At 39.9% G+C, this 21,302-nt stretch overlaps 3 annotated features.

Annotated features, from left to right (window-relative positions):
- Positions 3,739–4,402: a transcriptional cis regulatory region, noted in NCBI's record as "candidate enhancer chr6.4971 targeted for multiplex CRISPR interference". NCBI's record gives its function as "positively regulates CITED2 gene expression in K562 cells {active_cell/tissue: K562}" and the evidence as "EXISTENCE:mutant phenotype evidence [ECO:0000015][PMID:30612741]".
- Positions 18,630–18,797: a silencer, noted in NCBI's record as "fragment chr6:139961222-139961389 (GRCh37/hg19 assembly coordinates)". NCBI's record gives its function as "represses an EF-1alpha promoter that drives an FKBP-Casp9 reporter gene in an ReSE screen in K562 erythroleukemia cells {active_cell/tissue: K562}" and the evidence as "EXISTENCE:reporter gene assay evidence [ECO:0000049][PMID:32094911]".
- Positions 19,111–19,210: a silencer, noted in NCBI's record as "silent region_17613". NCBI's record gives its function as "represses an Ori minimal core promoter by ATAC-STARR-seq in GM12878 lymphoblastoid cells {active_cell/tissue: GM12878}" and the evidence as "EXISTENCE:reporter gene assay evidence [ECO:0000049][PMID:35858748]".

Below are 21,302 nucleotides of genomic sequence, written 5' to 3' on the forward strand. Positions count from 1 at the left end.
GGTTCAAGACATTCTCCTGCCTCAGCCTCTGGAGCAGCTGGGATTACAGGCGTGTGCCACCACACTCAGCTAATTTTTGTATTTTTAGTAGAGATGGGGTTTCACCATGTTGGCCAGGCTGATCTGGAATTCCTGACCTCAAGTGATCTACCCGCCTCGGCCTCCCAAAGTGCTGGGATTATAGGTGTGAGCCACCGCACTCGGCCAGATTTTTAATTTTTTAAAACTGAATTTCATTTGGTTAGATTTCTTTTTTTTTTTTCTTTTGTTTTTGAGACAGAGTCTTGCTCTGTCACCCAGGCTGGAGTGCAGTGGTGCCATCTTGGCTCACTGCAAGCTCTGCCTCCTGGGTTCACGCCATTCTTCTGCCTCAGCCTCCCGAGTAGTTGGGACTACAGGTGCCTGCCACCACGCCTGGCTAATTTTTTTGTATTTTTAGTAGAGACAGGGTTTCACTGTGTTAGCCAGGATGGTCTCGATCTCCTGAACTCATGATCCGCCCGCCTCGGCCTCCCAAAGTGCTGTGATTACAGGTGTGAGCCACTGCGCCCAGCCCATTTGGTTAGATTTGAACTAGAACTTGCTAATTCATCATAGAAGAACATATTTTAAGAAGTACCTAGTATCAAAGGCTAGAAGAAGGAGTACAGAGAAAACCAGTTTGTTAGGAACAGGGCTCAGGAAAGATTAATCAAGTTGATGATCTAGAGGGAACATATGGTGGTTGAAATCAAGGAGGAAAAAAGTGAGATAAAAGCCTCCAAATGGAATGTACTAGTTTGCAGGATCTGGAACAAGGACCCAGAAACTCCCTGAGCTAATACTGAAGTGATGAAAAAGAATTGCTAAAAAGGGTTGTTGGCATTTTGAACTTGTGACAAAATGATTGCATGCATGTGAAGGCTGTAGTTAGGATTTCCTTCATTTTATCTGTGATAATTAGTGTTATTCAACTGAACTAACATATATGTGTATATTTGAAGCAACCGTTTGTGATGGTTGGCAGGATGTGTTACACTGGTGGAGAGAGAGTGAAAAAAGGGTAAGACCCAGGTCTATCAACCTAATGCAAGCAATGCCATTCTTTTCATTAGTCTGGATAATGTCCATGCAAAGTTGACCATGAATAAGCAATATAAAGTAGGGAGTTATCTAAATGTTAGATCATGGTCTTCATTGAGGTTGCTTTGTCATTTGGAGGCAAGAGTTTTACCTCTTTGGGAGACGGATATCAGTTTTTATTACAGCTGTATCTGAGAAGGCCAGATTTAGGGAGTAAGGATGGATGTAGTGCTCTTGATTATAGCAAAGGCTGGAAGTACTACTCTAAGAAAAATAAATGGGCTTCTTTTTTCCCTGAGCTATGTCCCATTCTTATTTATTTATTTATTTTTGAGATGGAGTTTTGCTCTTGTTACCCAGGCTGGAGTACAATGGCACGATCTCAGCTCACCACAATCTCTGCATCCTGGGTTCAAGCAATTCTCCTGTCTCAGCCTCCCGAGTAGATGGGATTACAGACATGTGCCACCAAGCCCAGCTAATTTTGTATTTTTAGTAGAGACGGGGTTTCTCCATGTTGGTCAGGCTTGTCTCGAACTCCCAAAGTCAGATGATCCGCCCACCTCGGCCTCCCAAAGTGCTGGGATTACAGGCATGAGCCACCGCCCCCGGCCCTTTATTTTTGCTTCTTAAAAACCACTTTGTATAATTCTTGTTTCTTCATTTCCTAGCCCAATATTTTTAATGCTTTATATCTCTTTTTTCTTTGTCTTTTCTTTTAATTTGAATGTTTACCTGAGTATTCATTTCCTTCTAATCATGTTTTGCTTGCCACCTTTGCAGACAGTACCACCGTGGGAGCAAAGAGGGTTTTGTACAGGGAGAAGGAGAAGAGGGACTAATAGGCCATGAACTAACCTGCTTTTTCTCCAGCAACCAATGTGCACTGTATGGAACGGGGAGACATTTCTGTTGCAGTCAGTTAGGCCTAGTCATGATGGGGCCATTGGAAGGAATAGTAAACAGGAGCTAGAGAAAAAAGCTGTGCTTGCAGCAGTGTAGGCGCCCTCCTCGCTCATATAGCAGAAATATGAGACCACGAGTGATAACCCAGTGGCCTTATATTTTGAGTCATGGTCTCATGCACCTTTGGGAATATTCCTTTCCACATGCCCACAGCAACCTCCTCCCACCCTTCTCTGTGGGCTGACAGAGACACAATTTGCAAACACATGATATTCTCATCCAAATACAGAATAGAACAGATTTTCAATGCAATTCAACAAACACCTATTGAACAACTACTGCACACCAAGGAGAGTAAGGAATGATTGAGTTTAAAGTTGCACAAGACATGGTCTTTGATTTTTAGGAGCTATAGTCTAGAGAAACACATAAAAAGCCATACTGGAGGTGGCCAAAAAAGGAGTAAGGGTCAGAAAAGAAGCACAAAGTACAGGGGGAGCTCAGAGGAGTGAGAAATGATTTCTTGTTATGAGGTTAAGAGAGGCTTCATGAAGCCTGGAATTTCATCTTGGTTCTCAATAGTGAGAAAGACTGAGGAAGGGAATGTTATGTAAAAGCATAGAGATAAGAAAATGCAGAAGACATTTGTAAAGAAAGTGATGGAAGAACAATGGAGTTGAATGGACATTTCAGATGAGAGTATGTGACACGCTGGGATCCACATTAAGCAGATTGGACTTTGTTCTGTAGGCAAAAGGCGATCATTGATGGACTTCAATAGGGGTGATAATGTGAATTATTATGCATGTAAATAATTGCATTGGCAGCTGAATAATGATGGAGTGGGAAGTTAGCAGCCTGGGAGACCAATCAGAAAAGAGGAGAGAAAAGAAAGAGCCAGATCTTAGGGTTAAGCATAGTGGTTACGAGTGAAGCCATAGAAGCTGGATGACCTTGTGCATTAATAGACACCTTGACTTGCCACGGATGAGCCATAACCTTGGGAGAAGTTACTTAATTTTTCCATGGTTCAGCTTCCTCCTCTGTAAATCAAGGATTGGAATGGGAGTTATTTCACAGAATTGTAAGGATTAAATTAGTTAACAGGTATAAAGAAATTAGATCTGCATCTAACAAACGGTAAGCACTCCAGAATATATTAGTAAGGCAGTGATAACAAGAGACAATAAGGAGTGGGTTTGAAAGTTATTCTACTATATAATTATGTCATTATTTATTATGGAGTTATTTTCAGCTATTTGCCTATTAAACATAATTCTGTCATTTAGTAAGCAAAGCAAGAAATCAAGTTGTTACCATAGTACTTACTACATTTTGTTTATTTCTTGTGATTTCTGCTGGAATGTATCTCAGACTTTGAGATGATATATATTAGGTTGCCCCAACATATATTAGTTTTAAAAAGGAGCTTGAAAATTTAAGAAGGCTATTTGAGCTATGTAGTCAGACTTAGTTGTAACTTGAGTTTTATCTATAGTATCTATCATCTCTCTATATCTATCAGTCATCTATCTATGTATCTATCTAATAAATATGTATACTTCTTGTTTGTTTTTACTTTCTTACATAGCACCTAACCTATGGTAACTTAAATATTTTTTTCAGATATAACTGTGCAATATAACTTAAATATATTTTGCAGATATAACCTTCCTAACCCTTGGGAGGCAGGAAAAGCCATATTAATTGAGATTTAGAACCGTAGTTCCACCAGTCCCTGCCTGGATTTTCTTTCCTCCCTCTGCTCTACCCTCACTACTTAAACCATCACTGCAGAACAGAGGGAGCTCCCCTCCAAAAGTCACTCAGAAACAGCCAGGGGACCGGGAGGGCCTCCTCCGGTTAGTTGCTCTGTGTGTTCCTTTAAGTTCCCTCCCTGGAGACCTTGGGAGAAAGGTATGAGGCAGAATGAGGCTGAACAAGAGAAAACAAAGAGGCAGCTCTCATTATTAGGGTCAAGGCAAAGAGGAAAACAAAGGGCGGTAAGCAATTCTCCTTTGCTGTTTCCTGTGCAGTCTGAGTTTCATGTGGACTTATCTATGGTCTAGACCACATTGAAAATGTGAAGGTTATGATAACAGACATCGGTAGTCAACAGCTAACTGTAGAATATTTACCTTGATCTACTTTGGGCTTTAGTAATAATCTAGGACCTAGGAAAGAAACCATAGGTAAGTGTCAATGGAATGGCAAAGACCACCTGTGAATAGCCAAAGCACAGTTAAGGGAAGAACAGAGTGTGGGTGTTCTTGTGGCTCATAGCTTGCTACCTCTTTCTCGGTGCACCCTGGACCTTCCTGCTTCAGGGTCCTCTCTTCAGCAGTAGACACTAGGCTGGCTGAAAGAGCAGAGACCTGCCTTAGTTCTCACCCTTCATAGACTTTTGACTCTGGTAAGTCAACAGCAGAGGCAAAAGCAATGATGGTGTTTAAGACATGCCTTTGATGCCATTGTCTCAACCCTGCTGAGGAGAAGTTATCCAGCATCAAAAAGAGATGAACTCACATGCAGTCTTTTAAAAGTAAATATCGATGAATATTTCCTGGCATGAAAATTTGTTCAAGAAATGCTGTTAAGTACAAAAAGCATATAGTAAACATCATGTACAGTAAGAGTTTTCCTTGTGAGCCAAACCAAATTAACCATAAACATCACACATGTGCTTACAGGGAGGCTTACCCAAGTCTCATCAGGGCCATCTCTGATGGGAAGAGAATGTGAGGTTTGCTCCGTGTGTGTGTGTGTGTGTGTGTGGGTGTGTGTGTGTGTGAGTGTGTGGGTGTGTGTGCATTTATCATTTTTCTATCAATGAAAGTCATTTTTAATTTTCATAATAAGAAGTATATCAACCCATGACAGCAGCTAAGTGATGCAGCTTCCACAGAGATCTCTGGGAAATAATGCAGTGCCTGTTCCCTTTTTCTTTCTATTGTATCCTCTTCTTTTGCACAGAAAGCATGGAGTAGCAGCCTCCTCCTTTCCTAACAAGGATCCTGGCGTGTGGGTGAGGGAACCAGTGCAGAAAAGAAGAGGTTGAGGAGGCTTCCTCCCCACATTTCCATGTGTCAATCAGCTTCCTGCAGAAACCACTCCTCCCCCAGCTTCCTGCCAACATCCCTTTGGCAAGAAAAGAAAGATGGGCTGAACTCCCAACACTTGGCGAAATATCCCCTTTCCTGAAAGTGTTGGGTGGAGGGTGGGGGTGCTGGAAGAATCTGTCCTCAGTATGTATCCTGTTCTATCCTACACACTTTCAATCAATAGTGCCACCGTGTTGGGTCAGGTTCCAAGCTCTCCCTCTCCTTGCCTTTCTATGACCAGTGACCTGTGCACTTGCCCTGATAGCTTTCTCTTTATAAAGCTGACTTTAAAACTGACAACAAAAGTAGCAGTTAACAGTTACACAAGAGGAGATGAGGAAACCTCAGGCTGGTGACTGTGTTTGTTCATCAACTGACATTTGGGTGCCTTCTGAAGAAGCAAAGAAACAGCAGGGCACAGTGTAATTTGAACGAGAGAGACAAGGTGCTGGTCAAAGCAAGAAAATCCTAACTGGGGTGGAACGAAGTGTGGGAAACTCTCTCTAGAATTTCACTGATTAACCATTGATAAAATAACAGAAGTCTATTTTTCCCCTCTCAGGGCCCCTTTTATTCACATGCTGAATGTGAAAAGTAAGACATCCAACTTACCTAAGCTTTACACTGTGCTAATTGTGTATGAGAGACTGTCATTTGAGAGTGTAGCCTCAAATCTCTTTTCTGAAGGACTTGGTGCAGAGCACATGCCCTGTCACCTCCTCTCTCCTTTGAGGGGGTGCTGATGAGCACAACAGTTGATTCTTTCATCCTTACTGTTTGTTTTTCAGGAGGTATGTGGCATTTGTTTTTTGGTCTCACCTTCCTCAACTCCTGTACCAGCAGGATTCCTCCCCTTCCATTCTCTTCAGGAGGCATATTTCCATGTCAAAGACCTCTCTGGAGAGAAAGCCTCTTTTTCTTCCACCCTCTGCCTTGTTTTTGCCCGAATCACCTTAACTCCCTCCTTCCCAGCCCTGTTCCACAATAACCATGGCAAGGAACAAAACATGATTTAGAAATCGAATCCCCAGAAAAAGCCAGCTTTATTCTATGAGGGATAAGAGCAGTTAAATTGCCCTAAAAAAAAAATCAAGTTGTTGTAAGAAGGAATGATTGCTATCTCTTGCTGTAAACATAGAAATAAGAATTATTCTTTGGTGAAACTGTAGATTTTCCTTAGGAAAAATGGAAATGCCGAGACCACTACACACAGCTGGGTAAATTCATGGCAGGCTAATAGAAGAATTTATATGGGGGGAGTGAGCATACTTTAACTTGTCTTCTATCTATAGACAGTCTCCTGATATCCTCATCCAATAGGATGAATGGGTAATTGAAGTGGACACAAAGAAGGCTCTTCTATTCCGTGTTCCTGTTCTTCTAGGGTTGGGGAACCTTGGAACTTATTCCTACTCTTGCACTTTGGGAAGATCTTGGGAACCCAAATCCATTTATTCCCTGTAAATTGTGCCAAGATCAGAAGGCAGTCATGAAAGGGCTTCATTTGGGAGTGGTTTTTGGTGGTTTCGCTCAATGCTGTTTGAACCCAACTAAGGCATTTTCCTCAAGCCATCAAAAGCCCAAGAAATCTTCTGCACTAACCACCCATTCATAAGGAACTCAAGCTTATTAGCTCTTATCTGGTACCAGAATACATACCCCATTGGTCTTTGGATGACAGCCCTCTGGGCTCCCCACAGTAAAAGGTAGTCTTAGAACCAGAGGAAAAATCAAAGTCTCCTGGATCCTATGTATTTCTCATGTCCTAGGACTTGCCCCCTCTCCTCCTATGCTGGAGTTGCTTGAGTTATACAGAAACACTGGACAAAAAGCCTGCTCTCTTCTTTCCCTAGATAGTTCACAAAATATTCCTTTAGTTTGCAATGCTCTTCCCCTTTTTGATGCTGGCTGACTTCCACTTGGCTGACTCTTACATCCAATTAATTCTGAAGCCTTTGAAAACTCTGTTAGATGTTCTTCCTATATAATGTCACAACTGGCAGAATGAACAAATAAAACAATCATTGGGAAGAAATAAAAGCGTCACAAAACCTTCCAATTCCTTGCACTTTACCTCTTTTTTATGTGGTACTTGGTTGCACTAATGACCTCTTCTCTTTTATTCTAGAAAATGTTGACCTGTGTCTCTCTCTGAAACCAGAAAGAGCACAGTCCTAAAAGTAATGAGTAGCGGGACTCATTTAATATCTTTTATGTATAATGGGAAATTCAGGAAACACAGGAAGTATTTTCACTGGAGAGGTCAACCTGGAACATTCATTTCCAAAGTTACCTAAAGATTATACAGAAGTAGACACAACTTTGGTTTTCAGATAGCTTACCATCAAGTACTCGGATAAAGCACTAATATTACTTTTCTATTGTTGTTACAAATTACCACAACTTTAGTGGTTTAAAACAACACAAATGTATTAGCTTATAGTTCTGTAATTCAGAGGTTTGGGCATGGTTCAACCTTGTTCTCTGCTCAGGGTCTCACATTCAAGTATTAGTTGAGCTGAGTTCTTTTTTCTTTATTATTTTTATTTTTAATTTTTGGTGGTGCACAGGAGGTGTATGTATTTATGGGTTACATGAGATATTTTGATACAGGCATGCAATGAGTAATAACCAAATAAGGGTGAATGGTATATCCATTCCCTCAAGCATTTACTCTTCGTGTTACAAACAATCCAATTACACTCTTTCAGTTATTAAAAAATGTACAATTAAATTATTTTTGACTATAGTCACCCTGTTGTGCAAGGAAATACTACGTCTTATTCATTCTATATAACTATATTTTTGTACCCGTGAACTCTCCCTAGTTCCTCCCCACCCTCCCCAGCCTCTAGTAAGCAACCTTCTACTTTCTATCTCCATGAGTTAAATTATTTAAATTTTTAGCTCACACAAATAAGTGAGAACATGTGAAGTCTGTCTTTCTGCGTTTGGCTTATTTCACTTAACATAATGACCTCCAGTTCCATCTGTGTTGTTGCAAATGACAGGATCTCATTCTTTTACAGCTGGAGTAGTGTTCTATTGTGAATATGTACCACATTTTATTTATCCATTCATCTGTTGATGGACACTTAGGTTGTTTCCAAATCTTGACTAATGTGAACAGTGTTGCAAAAACATGGGAGTGCATATATCTCTTTAATACGCTGATTTCTTTTCTTTTGGGTATATACTGAGGAGTGGGATTGCTGGATCATAAGATAGCTCTATTTTTAGTTTTTTGAGGAGCCTCTGAGTTGTTCTCTATTGTGGTTGTACTATTTTACACTCCCATGAACAGTATATGAGGTTTCCCTTTTCTCCACAACGTAGCCAGCATTCATTATTGCCTGTGTTTTTGATAAAAGCCATTTTAACTCGGGCGAGATATCTCATTGTAGTTTTGATTTGCATTTCTCTGATGATCAATGATGTCGAGCCCCTTTTCATATACTTGTTTACCATTTGTATGTGTTCTTTTGAGCAATGACTATTCAGATCTTTTGCCCATTTTTAATTGGATCATTAGATTTTTTTCCTACACAGTTGTTTGAGCTCTTTATATATTCTGGTTATTAATTCCTTGTCAGATGGGTGATTTTAAAATATTTTCTCCCATTCTGGGGTTTGTCTCTTCACTTTGTTGATTGTATACTTTGTTGTGCAGAAGCTTTTTAATGTGATGTGATCCCATTTGTCCATTTTTGCTTTGGTTGCTTGTGCTTATGGAGTATTGCTCAAGAAATCTTTGCCAAATCTAATGTCTTAGACGTTTTCCCCAATGTTTTCTTGTAGTAGTTTCATAGTTTTAGGTCTTACATTTAAGTCTTTAATCCACTCTGATTTGATTTTTGTATATGGAGAGAGGTAGGGAAATAGTTTCATTCTTCTGCATATAGATATCTAATTTCCAGCATCATTTATTGAAGACTGTCCTTTCCCAATGTGTGTTCTTAGTACCTTTGTCAAATATGAGTTCACTGGGCCGGGCGCGGTGGCTCACGCCTGTAATCCCCGCACTTTGGAAGGCCGAGGCAGGCGGATCACGAGGTCAGGAGCTTGAGACCAGCCTGGCCAACATGGTGAAACTCCATCTCTTCTGAAAATACAAAAATTAGCTGGGCATGGTGGTGGGTTCCTGTAATCCCAGCTACTTGGGAGGCTGAAGCAGGAGAATCGCTTGAACCCGGGAGACAAGAGGTTACAGTGAGCCAAGATCGCGCCAGTGCACTCCAGCTCGGGCAACAGGAGCAAAACTCCGTCTCAAAAAAAAAAAAAAAAAGGAGTTCACTGTAGATGTATGAATATATTTCTGGGTTCTCTATTCTGTTCCACTAATCCGTGTGTCTTGTTTTTATGCAAGCACTGTACTGTTTTGGTTACTATAGCTCTGTAGTATAATTTGAAGTCAGGTAATGTGATTCCTCCAGTTTTTTTCTGTTTGCTTAGGATAGCTTTGGCTATTCTGGATCTTTTGTGGTTATGTATAAATATTAGGACTGCTTTTTCTATTTATGTGAAGAATGTCATTGGTATTTTCATAGGGATTGCATTAAATGTATAAATTACTTTGTGTAGTATGGACATTTAAACAATATTGATTCTTCCAATCCATGAACATAGAATATCTTTCCTTTTTTTGTGTGTCTTCTTTTTTTGCATCAATGTTTTATAGCTTTCATTGTAGAGATCTTTCACTTCTTTGGCATTTTATTTTATTTTATTTGTACCTATTGTAAATGGGATTCCTTTCTTGATTTCTTTTTAAGTTTATTTTCTCTTGGCATATAGAAATGCTACTGATTTTTGTATGTTGATTTTGTATCCTGCAATTTTACTGAATTTGTTTATCAGTTCTAATAGTTTTTTGGTAGAATTTTTAGGTTTTTCCCAAGCATAAGATTATATCATCTGCAAACAAGGATAATTTGAATTTTTCCTTTCCAGTTTGGATGCCCTTTATTTATTTTTTGTGCCTGATTGCTCTAGCTAGGATTTCCAGTACTATGTTGAATAACAGTGGTGAAAGTGGGCATCCTTGTCATGTTCCAGATCTTAGAGGAAAGACTTTCAGTTTTTTCCCGTTTAGTATGATACTAGCTATGGGTCTGTCGTAAATGGCTTTTTGTTATGTGGAGGTATATGCCTTCCATACCCAGTTTTTTTGGGAGTTTTTATCATGAGGGATATTAAATATTGTCAATTTTTTTCAGCATCAATTGAAATGATTATTTTTTTTGTCCATTCTATTGATGTAATGTATCACATTGATTGATTTGAATATGTATAACCATCTTTGCATCCCAGGGATAAATCCCACTTGATCATAATGAATGATCACTTTAATATGTTGTTGAATTCAGCTTGCTAGTATTTTGTTGTGGATTTCTGCATTAACGTTCATAAGAGATATTGACTTGTAATTTTATTTTTTTTGATGTGTCTTTGGTTTTGTTATCAGGGCAATACTAGCTTCACAGATTAAGTTTGGAAGTATTCCCTCCTCCTCTATTTTTCATAATATTTTGAATAGGATTGGCATTAGTTCTTTAAATGTTTGATAGACTAGAGCAATGAATCCATTGGGTCCTGGCTTTTCCTTGTTAAGGGACTTTTTATTATGGCTTCAATCTTATGACTTGTGAATGGTCTGTTAAGGTTTTGGATTTCTTTATGGTTCAGTCTTGGTAGGTTGTATGTGTCTAGAAATTTATCCATTTCTTCTAGATTTTCCAATTTATTGGCATATAGTTGTTCATGATAACTACTAAAGATCCTTTGAATTTCTGCAGTATCAATTGTAATGTCTCCTTTTTCATCTCTGATTTTATTTATTTGGGTCTTCTCTCTTTCATAGACAGGATAAAGGCTTGCCAATTTTATTTATCTTTTCAAAAAACCAACTTTTTGTTCCATTGATCTTTTTTGTTTATTTCATTCCAACTTCATTTATTTCTGCTTTAATCTTTATTATTTCTTTTCTTCTATTAATTTTGGGTTTGATTTGCTCCTGCTTTTCTAGCTGTTTAAGATGCATCACTAGGTTGTTTAGTGGAAGTTTTTCTTCTTCTTTGATGTATGCACGTATAGCTATAAACCTCCCTCTTTGTACTGCATTTGTGGTATCACATAGGTTTTGGTGTGTTGCATTTCCATTATCATTTATTTCAAGAGATTTTTCAGTTTCAATCTTAATTTCTTCATTGGCCCACTGGTCATTCAGGAGTGTATTGTTTAGTTTCTGTGTGTTTATACAGTTTCCAAAATTTCTCTTTTTATTTATTTCTAGTTTTAATCCATTTTGGTCAGAGAAGGTCCTGATATCATTTCAAGTTTTTTGAATGTTTGAAGACTTATTTGTCTAACATGTGGTCTGTCCTGGACAAAGATCATGTGCAGAGGAAAAGAACGTATATTCTGCAACCACTGGATAAAATGTTCTGTAAATATCTATTAGGTCCATTTGGTCTATAGTGTAGATTAAGTCCAATGTTTATTTGTTGATTTTTCTGTCTGGGTGATCTGTCCAATGCTGATAGTGGGGTGCTGAAGTTGTCAGCCATTACTGTATTGGGGCATATCTCTCTCTTCATCTCTAATAGCATTTGCTTTATTTATCTGGGAGCTCCAGTTTTGGTTGCATATATCTTTAAAATTTTTGTTATATCTTCTTGCTGAGTTGACTCCTTTATGATAATGACTTTTGTCACCTCTTATAGTTTTTGTCTTGCAATCTATTTTGTCTAATATAAATATAGCTACTCCTGCTCTTTTTTGGATTCCATTGCCATGGGATATCTTTTTTTCATGCCTTTATTTTCAGTGCATGTGTTTGCTTATAGAGGAAGTGTGTTTCTTGTGGGCAATGGATTATTGGGTCTTTTTTTTTTTTAAATTCATTCAGCTACTCCATGTCTTTTGATTGGAGAGTTTAGTCCATTTACATTCAGTCTTATTATTGATAAGTAAGGACTTACTCCTGCCATTTTTAATTTGTTTTCTGGGTGTTTTTTGGTTCTTCCTCCCTCCCTCCCTCCCTCCCTTCCTTCCTTCCATCTTTCTTTCAGTGATGGTGATTTTCTCTGGTAGTATGATTTAATGTCTTGCTTTTTATTTTCTATGCATCTGTAGTATTTTTTTTGATTTGAGGTTATCATGAGGCTTGCAAATACTATCTTATAACCCATTATTTTAAGCTGATAGCAACTTAATACTGTTTGCATAAACAAACAGGCAAAGGAAAACTAATACACAAAACTCTACGCCTTAACTTCATCCCCCACACTTTTTAACTTTTTCTTGTTTCTTTTATATTTTATAGTACTGGCTATATCTTGAAAAGTTATTATTTTTGACTGGCCCATTGTTTAATCTTTCTATTCAAGATAAGAGTAGTTTACACCACACAGTTACAGTGTTATAGTACTCTGTGTTTGTGCACTTACTATTACCAGTGAGTGTTGCACTTTCAGATGATTTGTTACTGATCATTAATGTCTTTCTTTCAGATTGAATAACTCTTTAGCATTTCTTGTAGGACAGGTCAGGTGTTCATGAAATCCTTAGGCTTTTGTTTGTCTGGGAAAGTCTTTATTTCTCCTTCATGTTTGAAAGATATTTTTGCTGGATATACTATTCTAGGGTAAAAATTTTTTTCCTTCAGCATTTTAAATATGTCATGTCGCTGGGCACAGTGGCTCACACCTGTAATCCCAGCACTTTGGGAGGCTGAGGTGGGCGGATCACGGGGTCAGGAGATTGAGACCATCCTGGCTAACACGGTGAAGCCCCATCTCTACTAAAAATACAAAAAATTAGCCAGGCGTGGTGGCAGGCGCCAGTAGTACCAGCTACTCGGGAGGCTGAGGCAGGAGAATGGAGTGAACCCAGGAGGCAGAGCTTGGAGTGAGCTGAGATCGCGCAACTGCACTCCCACCTGGGTGACAGAGCAAGACTCCGTCTCAAATAAATAAATGAATGAATGAATGAATAAATAAATAAATAAATATGTCATGCCACTCTCTCCTAGCCTGTAAGGCTTCCACTGAGAAGTCTGCTGCCAGATATATTGGAGCTCCTTTTTATAAGCTTATTTGTTTGTTTTCCCTTGCTCCTTTTAGGATCCTTTCTTTATCCTTAACCTTTGGAAGTTTGATTATTAAATACCTAAGGTAGTCTTCCTTGGGTTAAATCTGCTTGGTGTTCTATAACCTTCTCATGCTTGGATATTGATACCTTTCTCTAGGTTTGGGACATTCTTTGTTATTTTCTCTACGAATAAACATTTTACCCCATCTCTTTTTCTACCTTCCCTTCTCTTTAAGGCCAACAACCCTTTTTTTTTTTTTTTTTTCTGTTTTTTGAGAAAGACTCTCTGTGTTGCACAGGCTGGAGTGCAGTGGCACAATCTTGACTCATTGCAGCCTCCGCCTCCCGGGTTCAAGCGATTCTCCTGCCTCAGCCTCCAAGTAGCTGGGATTACAGACATGAGCCACTGCACCCTGCCTAAGGCCAACAACTTTTAAATTTGCCGTTTTGAGGATATTTTCTAGATCCTGTAGGCATGCTCCATTGTTTGTTTATTATTTTTTCTTTTGTCTCCTCTGACTGTATTTTTAAATAGCCTGTCTTCAAGCTCACTAATTCTTTATTCTGCTTGATCAACTATGCTGTTAAGAGACTACTGCATTCTTCATATGTCAGTTGCATTTTTCAACTTCAGAGTTTTTGCTTGATTCTTTTTAATTGTTTTATTTGTTAAATTTATCTCCTAGAATTCTGAGCTCCTTCTCTGTGTTATCTTGAATTTCTTTGAATTTCTTCAAAGTAACTATTTTGAATTATCTGTCTGAAAGGTCACATATCTCTATTTTTCCAGGATTGGTCCCTGGTGCCTTATTTAGTTCATTTGGTGAGGCCATGTTATCGTGGATTGTCTTGATACTGGTAGATGTTCACCTTTGTCTGGGCATTGAAGAATGGGGTATTTATTGTAATCTTTGCAGTCTAGGCTTGTTTGTACCTGTCCTTCCTTGGAAGGCTTTCCAGGTATTCAAAAGGACTTGGGTGTTGTAATCGAAGCCATATCTGCATTAGGGAATACCTTAAATTCAGCAATGTTGTGGTTCTGGCAGATACATAGAGGTACCATCTTGATGGTGTTGAATAAGATCTGGAAGAAATCTCTGGATTATCAGACAAAGACTCTTGTTCTCTTCCTTTACTTCCTCCAAACAAATGGTGTCTCTCTCTCTTCTGAGCTGTATGGAGCTAGGGATGGGGTGACACAAGCAACCCTGTGGCCACCAGCACTGGGACTGCACTGGGTCAGATCTGAAGCTAGCAGCTAGCATAGCACTGGGTCTTGCTCCAGGCCTGCTGTAACCACTACGTGCCTACCGCCTACGTTCACTCAAGGCCCTGGGGCTCTACAGTCAACAGCTGGCAAATCCAGCCAGGCCTGTTTCCTTCCCTTTGGGGAGGCAAGTTCTCCCTGAGCCCAGGTGGGTCCGGAGGTGCTGCTCGGGTGCGAGCTACTGGAGTTAAAAATCATAGAAGTCTACCTGGTGTTCTTTTTGTTCTGCAACTGAGCTGGCACTCAAACAACAAGATGCAGTCCTCACTTTTTTCTCCCCTTTCCACAGGTAGAGGAGCCTCACCCTGTGGTCATAATCACCACAGGCCCACAGGGAGTACTGCCAGACTACTGGCAATATTCCCTTTAGGCCCAAGGATTCTTCAGTCAGCTTCTGGTGAATGCTGCCTGGTCTGGGAATCACCCTTTTGGGCAGTGGGCTCCTCTCTGGCCCAGGGCAGGTCCAGAAATGCTGTCCAAGAGCCAAGGCCTGGAAGTGGGGACTCCAAGAGCCTGCAAGTTGCTCTAACCCTCTATTGCTAAGTTGGTACCTAAGGTGCAAGACAAAGTCCCCTTACTTTTCCTTCCACGTTTCTCAAGCAGGAGACTCTTCCTGTAGCTCCCACAGCTGGGAATGTGCTGAGTGTCACACAAAGCCAGCAAGTTTCAGAGTCTCACTCAAGGCCCACAGCATACTACCTGGGAGTCACTGCTGGTTATTCAGGGCCCAAGGGCTTTTTAGTCAGTAGGTGATCTGTCCTACCAGGACTGGGTCCTTCCCTTCAAGGTAGTGGATTTCCTTCTGGCCCAGAGTGTGTCTAGAAATGTTGTCTGGGAGCTAGGGCCTGGAAGGAGGGCCTTATGGCTCAGAATGGTGTCCTATGCTACTGTGGCTGAGGTGGTATCCAAAATGCAAGACAAAGCCCTCCTTACTCTTCACTCTCCTCTCCTTAAGCAGAAGGAAGGGGTCGCTTTCATTGCTGTGAGCTACACTGCCTGGGGTTGGGAGAGAGATGGCTCAAGCACTCCCTTAGCTAGCCCAGATGATGTTTTAGTAGGTCATGTGCCCCCCAAGTCCACTGTCTGTGAGTTCAGTTTAACACTAGGACTTGCCTAGGAGTTGTAGTCCTTGTGTCCTCGACTGCCTTTCCAGTTTATTTAGAGCCCCAGGACACTTTAGCCTGTGGTGGCAAGACTTGCCAGAACTCAAGTTCTGACTTCTAGGATGAACAATTCCACTGTGGCTAGGGCTGATTTATATACACCCTAGGTGGGCGAGCATCGGTTGAGTTGAGCCCAGATTTGCTTTCTGCTGTGACAGGGCAGTACTGAATTCAATGCAATGTTTCACAGCTGCTTTACTCTCCCTTTCTTAACTGCACAGATTCTCTCTTTGTGCCATGCAGTCACTGCTGTGGGATGGGGGAGAGGTAGCATTGGTAATTCAAGACTGTCTTTCCTTCACTCTTCCAGTGTTTTTCTTCAGTCATATGAAGTTAAAATCAGCTACTATGAGTGCTCACTTGATTTTAGGATCTTATGAAGGTGCTTTTTCTGTGTGCAAAGGGATGTTTTACATGGTGGCAGGCAAGATAGCCTGTGTAAGGGCTTTATAAAACCATCAGATCTCTTGAGACTTACTCACTATCATGGAAAGAGCATAGGAAAGACCTGTTCCCATGATTGAATTATTTCCCACTGGGTTCCTCCCATGACACATGGGAATTATGGGAGCTACAATTCAAAATGAGATTTGGATGGGGACACAGCTAAACCATATCAGGGTGTGAGCCACTGTGCTTGGCCTGAGCTGGATTCTTATCTGGGGATTTGGGTCCTCTTCCAAGCTCACTCAGTTCCATGCAATGTAGGACTGAAGTCCCTATTTCTTGCTGACTTTTGGGGCTGTTCTCAGCTCCTAGAAGCCACTCACATCTTTGCCATGTTCTTCTTCCCTCTTCAGAGCCAGCAATGGAGAATTGCTCTGAAACTCTGAATTCCTTTTACTAGGAAGAACCCTGTCCATTTTAAGATCTCACTGATTATGCCAGGTTAGGTTTATGACACTATGACAAAAAATGTGACCTAATCATGGGACTGACATCCCACAGTATTTATAGGTTCTTTCCATGCTCAAGAAGAAAGGATCATATGACAATGAGGGTCTGTGGGTTATGTTAGAATTCTGTTTACCACAACACTTGGTGGATAAGGCAGAAAAATCTAAATTCTACTTGAAAGATATAAAGTGTTACATGGAGGCATCATAAGGAGACAACCTTACTCTAAGATGGTAAATGCTTAGCATATGGGAGATGCTCAATCAGTGTTTGTTAACCTGTGGCAAGTCCATATATACTGAGAACACAATAATGTATTGGACGTATAAATCAGAATGAGCTTTATTTATCAAATAAGAAAACCTGTTTGTTCCACAAATTGGACAGTTTGATTGTCAACCTTCTGTGCAGGGGAAAATGAACTCCAGAAGGAGGGGCTGGGTAGATAAAGGTAGGGCTGGGGTAGATAAAGAGCCTTCACACATTTAAGCATTTTGAGCCACTCTCAGGGGAGAAGCCAGAAGAGTTTTGGTGAAAAGCCTACTCAGGAACCACAGCAGGTAGCATGATGTCAAAGTCAAGAATACAGGATCAGACACAAGTTGCCTTCAGTGGCCCAGTGTTTTTCTTATTTGCTGAGGCGCCTGAAAGTGTATACTTACTCACATGGGTTACTAAGTTCCCATTCAATATATCACTTCCCTTGAAAGAGTCAACGCACTTCCTTGAGAAATGCTCTGATAACCTGGCAACGAATGAGATAGGCCTGCCCAGACTGGAGTTCAATACTCGTTTGTGTTGACAGTATCTTCCAGTGTCTAACAGGAGATTGAATTGTAGTCATTAAAAGTGCTTCTCTGGGGTCACCTAATAAAAACAACACCACTAGGGGGGTTTTCTGATTATGTGACTCCTTCATTTGAAGTAATTTCAGAGCTTTATGGACAGATCTGTTTACAGCTATTTCCCATTCCTGTTTCATAAATGGAAATAAGTTGCCTCTGAAGAAAACGGACTTCTCCAAGGTCTTAGTAAATCAGTTGAAGCACAGGAAAGCTAATGCAATATTCTAGTTTTAAAATTTCTAAAAAGGAGATGCCTGGGTGTGGTGGCTCATACCTGTATTCCCAGCACTTTGGGAGGCCAAGATAGGAAGACTGCTCGAGGCCAAGAGTTTTAGACCAGCTTGGTCAACATGGCAAGACTCCATTTCTATAAAAAAAATTTTAAAATTGGCTGAGTATGGTGGTGTGCATCTGTAGTCCTAGTTACTCAGGAGGCTGAGGCAGGAGGATCACTTAAGCCCAGGAGTTTGAGGCTGCAGTGGGCTACAGTTGTGGCACTGCACTCCAGCCTGGGCTACAGAGTGAGGCCTTGTCAATTTAGATAGATACTTTAAATTGATGCCTGAATTTCTAATTTTCTAATTTGGATATTCACTTTTAACATTTATTTATAAATATTTCTATTGCTCTCACAATTCTCTAGTCTTGAAATGCTTGTATCTTTTCCTAGGCTGAAAATCTGGATATTTTATAAAGCAACTTAATTATTGAAGATTCAGATAAAGTCCATTTGACCAAGCATGTGTGTTTGTAAATTTTACGTTTAAATATTTTTATTTAATTGCTAAATACAAAATTGAATTACCCGACTGAAGTGACAGTCTGATTATTTCAATGTTACGCAAGAGGAATTTTAAATTTCCTGTGAAGTTCTCGGAAAGAATGATGAAGACATTGTTACTTCTTATATAAAGTCCAGTTTTAAGTACTCCAGAGTAGATTTAGAAAGGCTTTGCCGCTGCTTATCACACTTTAGCTGTTCAAGAAGGAGTCAGAGAGGCACATAAGTAGGGAAGGATGACTTATATAACTGATGCAAATACAAGTGTAGGCCCAGCAAAATTTCAGTTCACTATGGTTGAAGCTCTAATGAAGAGTAAACAAAACTACATCTTGTTATGTAGAAGTAAAGGATGAGTGGCAGTGCGTGGTGGCTCATGCCTGTAATCCCAGCACTTTGGGAGGCCGAGGCGGGTGGATCACCTGCGGTCAGGAGTTCGAGATCAGCCTGACTAACATGGTGAAACCTGTTTCTACTAAAAATACAAAAAATTAGCCAGGCGTGGTGGTGCACGCCTGTAATCCCAGTTACTCGGGAGGCTGAGGCAGGGGAATCACTTGAACCCAGGAGGCGGAGGTTGCAGTGGGCCGAGATAGTGCCACTGCACTCCAGCTTGGGCAACAAGAGTGAAACTCTGTCTCAAAAAAAAAAAAAAAAAAAAAAGGTGAGTGTACAGAAGAACTTGGAGGTTTATGGCCTATTATCTGGTAACATAGAATCTTAGAATGGTTCAATCATTCTAATGGTGGTGGCTAATTCCCATCAGAATATCACTCTTGTAGATACTTGGAGAGGTTTGTGTCTGGTGAATTCCATCACACTTTAATATGACAGTAACAATGTCCTAAAAAAGTGACTATGATTGATGAAGATGTTGGATGTTTGTGAAATAAGCATCTAAACTATCAGTTTGAATTTTTTTAAATAACAAATTGGTATTAAACTAGAACATTTGAAGTATTTTCTTACACTTAGTAGGAAAACATAGAGCATTTTAAGATGTTGAGTTTTAAATTAGGAAACAACAGCGAAGTATCTAGAGACACAGAATACACCAAAGGAAACCCACAAACCACAGGCTAAGACATTGTTACTATGTGGACTGACCATGACAAAATACTCACTCCCTTTCCTCTCACAAGGGCTGCTTTTAGCTCGATACTAGATATTATTGACATAAAAAACTCAGAGCACTAAAAATGTATCTACTCTGTTTTCCTAGTATTTGTTTTTCTTCCTTGTCTCCTGCAATTTTATGTGAGAAATGAGAACTCAGCGTGACCCCAGTTATTAAAATCCGGAGGCTAGAATCTGGATATGGAATATCTATTGAAGCATGGCACCAAAACTTGATAGCTTTTGCTCCTTTTTGGTACTGTTGTGAGGACCAAGAGTTAATGAAAGAACAAAAATCCAATCAAGCAAGTCTCTCCTTGTTCAGAAAATTAAATGCATGTGTGAGAGAATCAATGGTCAATATCGACACTTTGGTAGACGCATTGGAACTGATTTGGCTTCGTGCCGAGCTTTTAAGGCTATTGGTGGAGGAGGGAGGAGTTTAACAACAGGAAAACAGCCAAAGAATATGAACTTCTCTTTTACCATCTTCATCATGTATCATATATAATGATTGGTGAATAACATGGGAAAGTTGCCAAAATTGCTTTGTCTCAACATTTATAGTTTCCAGGGATGGAAACTATATCCAGATATCCAGACTCAACAGGCATCTAAAATTCAGGCTCTAACTTCTCAATGTTCTAGAGAATATCTATAATGCAATTTCTGCCTATAGAAATTCTCACAAGTGGAAGATGTTTAGCATAATAGATAGACGTATGGCTTGCACCAGATGTATCCTTTGTATGGAATGCTGTTTTCCATGATTCACATATAGCTATTTCCACCTTGCTATGTAGGGCTCAGTTTATACATCATTCCCTCAGAGAGGACTCTTCTGACCACCCTACCCAATCACTCCATAACATGTTTTATTTTTATCAGAGCACTTGCCACTTCCTCCTATTTTACTTCATTTTGTTTTGTTTGCGGTCTGTCTCCCTGCCTCTCACTTGAATTTAAGGTCCATGGAAGCAGAGACTTTGTCTGTCTTGTTCATTTCTATTTCCTTGTGTCTACAACATGTGTAGCCAATATTAGGTTCATAATAGATGCCTGCGGAATGACAAGTGAGTAAATGAATGAGCAATAAAGTATAGATATATTCTACCAGTATTGAATTCTTTGTTTCCCAGGAAAAGTTATTTGGTCTTAATATTCTGCCTTTCGTATTCTTTCTGTTCACCAATGATATTAAAATGCATAGTGTTGCTAGTGTATAAGGGTTTACATGGGGGTTTTTCTACAAGGGTGGAAAGGATTCCTCTAAGAGCAAAATAAGATTATCAGAAAATTTACTTTTAAGATAAACAAATGATAGATAAAAACTGAGAAAGGAAGTTATCTAAGTAAGATAAAGTGGCTCCTAGGTTTACAAGATTTGATTGAAATGAATAAAATGTATTATCATATATCAGGGGCAAAAAATACAACTAAAAGCATTGGTCAACCATGAAAGTAGAAAAGAAGAGTTTTGGATGCAACCTTACCGGTGCCTGTCTACACATCCGAGGACCGTGCATCCTGGAAGGGTCCACCAACATACCACTCTGCTGTGGAATGGTTGCATCTGGTCATCTCAACCTCATGCAATTATCTGCTTCTTGAAGTCTCTTTGTTCTGATTTCCAGGCCACCAAGCAAACTTTGCAATGTGATTTGGCACACATTTCTCCCGCCATGAGAAATGTACCTATGAACCTGAAGTCCTTCAGTCCCAGTGATGATCATTGCCCATCACGCATAATAAATTGGCATCAGGTTTATGTGTCTATCCCATAAGCTTGGTAAATGTGAGTAGTTCCTAAAAGAGATGTGCTGACAATTCATACATCTGAGCTGGCTAGATTCCCAGCAATGTGCTGGATCCTGATAAATTCACCAGGATGAGGGATTGAAGACCTTGTAAGGGAGGCACAAGAACTGAGCCAAAAATTTTAGTTGAATTTTTGAATTAGTGTCCATCTGCTATCCATGAAACAGGTCAGTGACTTAACTGAGGGCAATATTTTGAACCTTTCTAACCTAAAGGGATGGAGGTAAGTGAAATCCAAGTCACCATCTCTATTTC

The sequence above is a fragment of the Homo sapiens genome, chromosome 6 (genome assembly GCF_000001405.40).
Source record: "Homo sapiens chromosome 6, GRCh38.p14 Primary Assembly".
In the NCBI taxonomy this organism is placed as follows: Eukaryota; Metazoa; Chordata; class Mammalia; order Primates; family Hominidae; genus Homo; species Homo sapiens.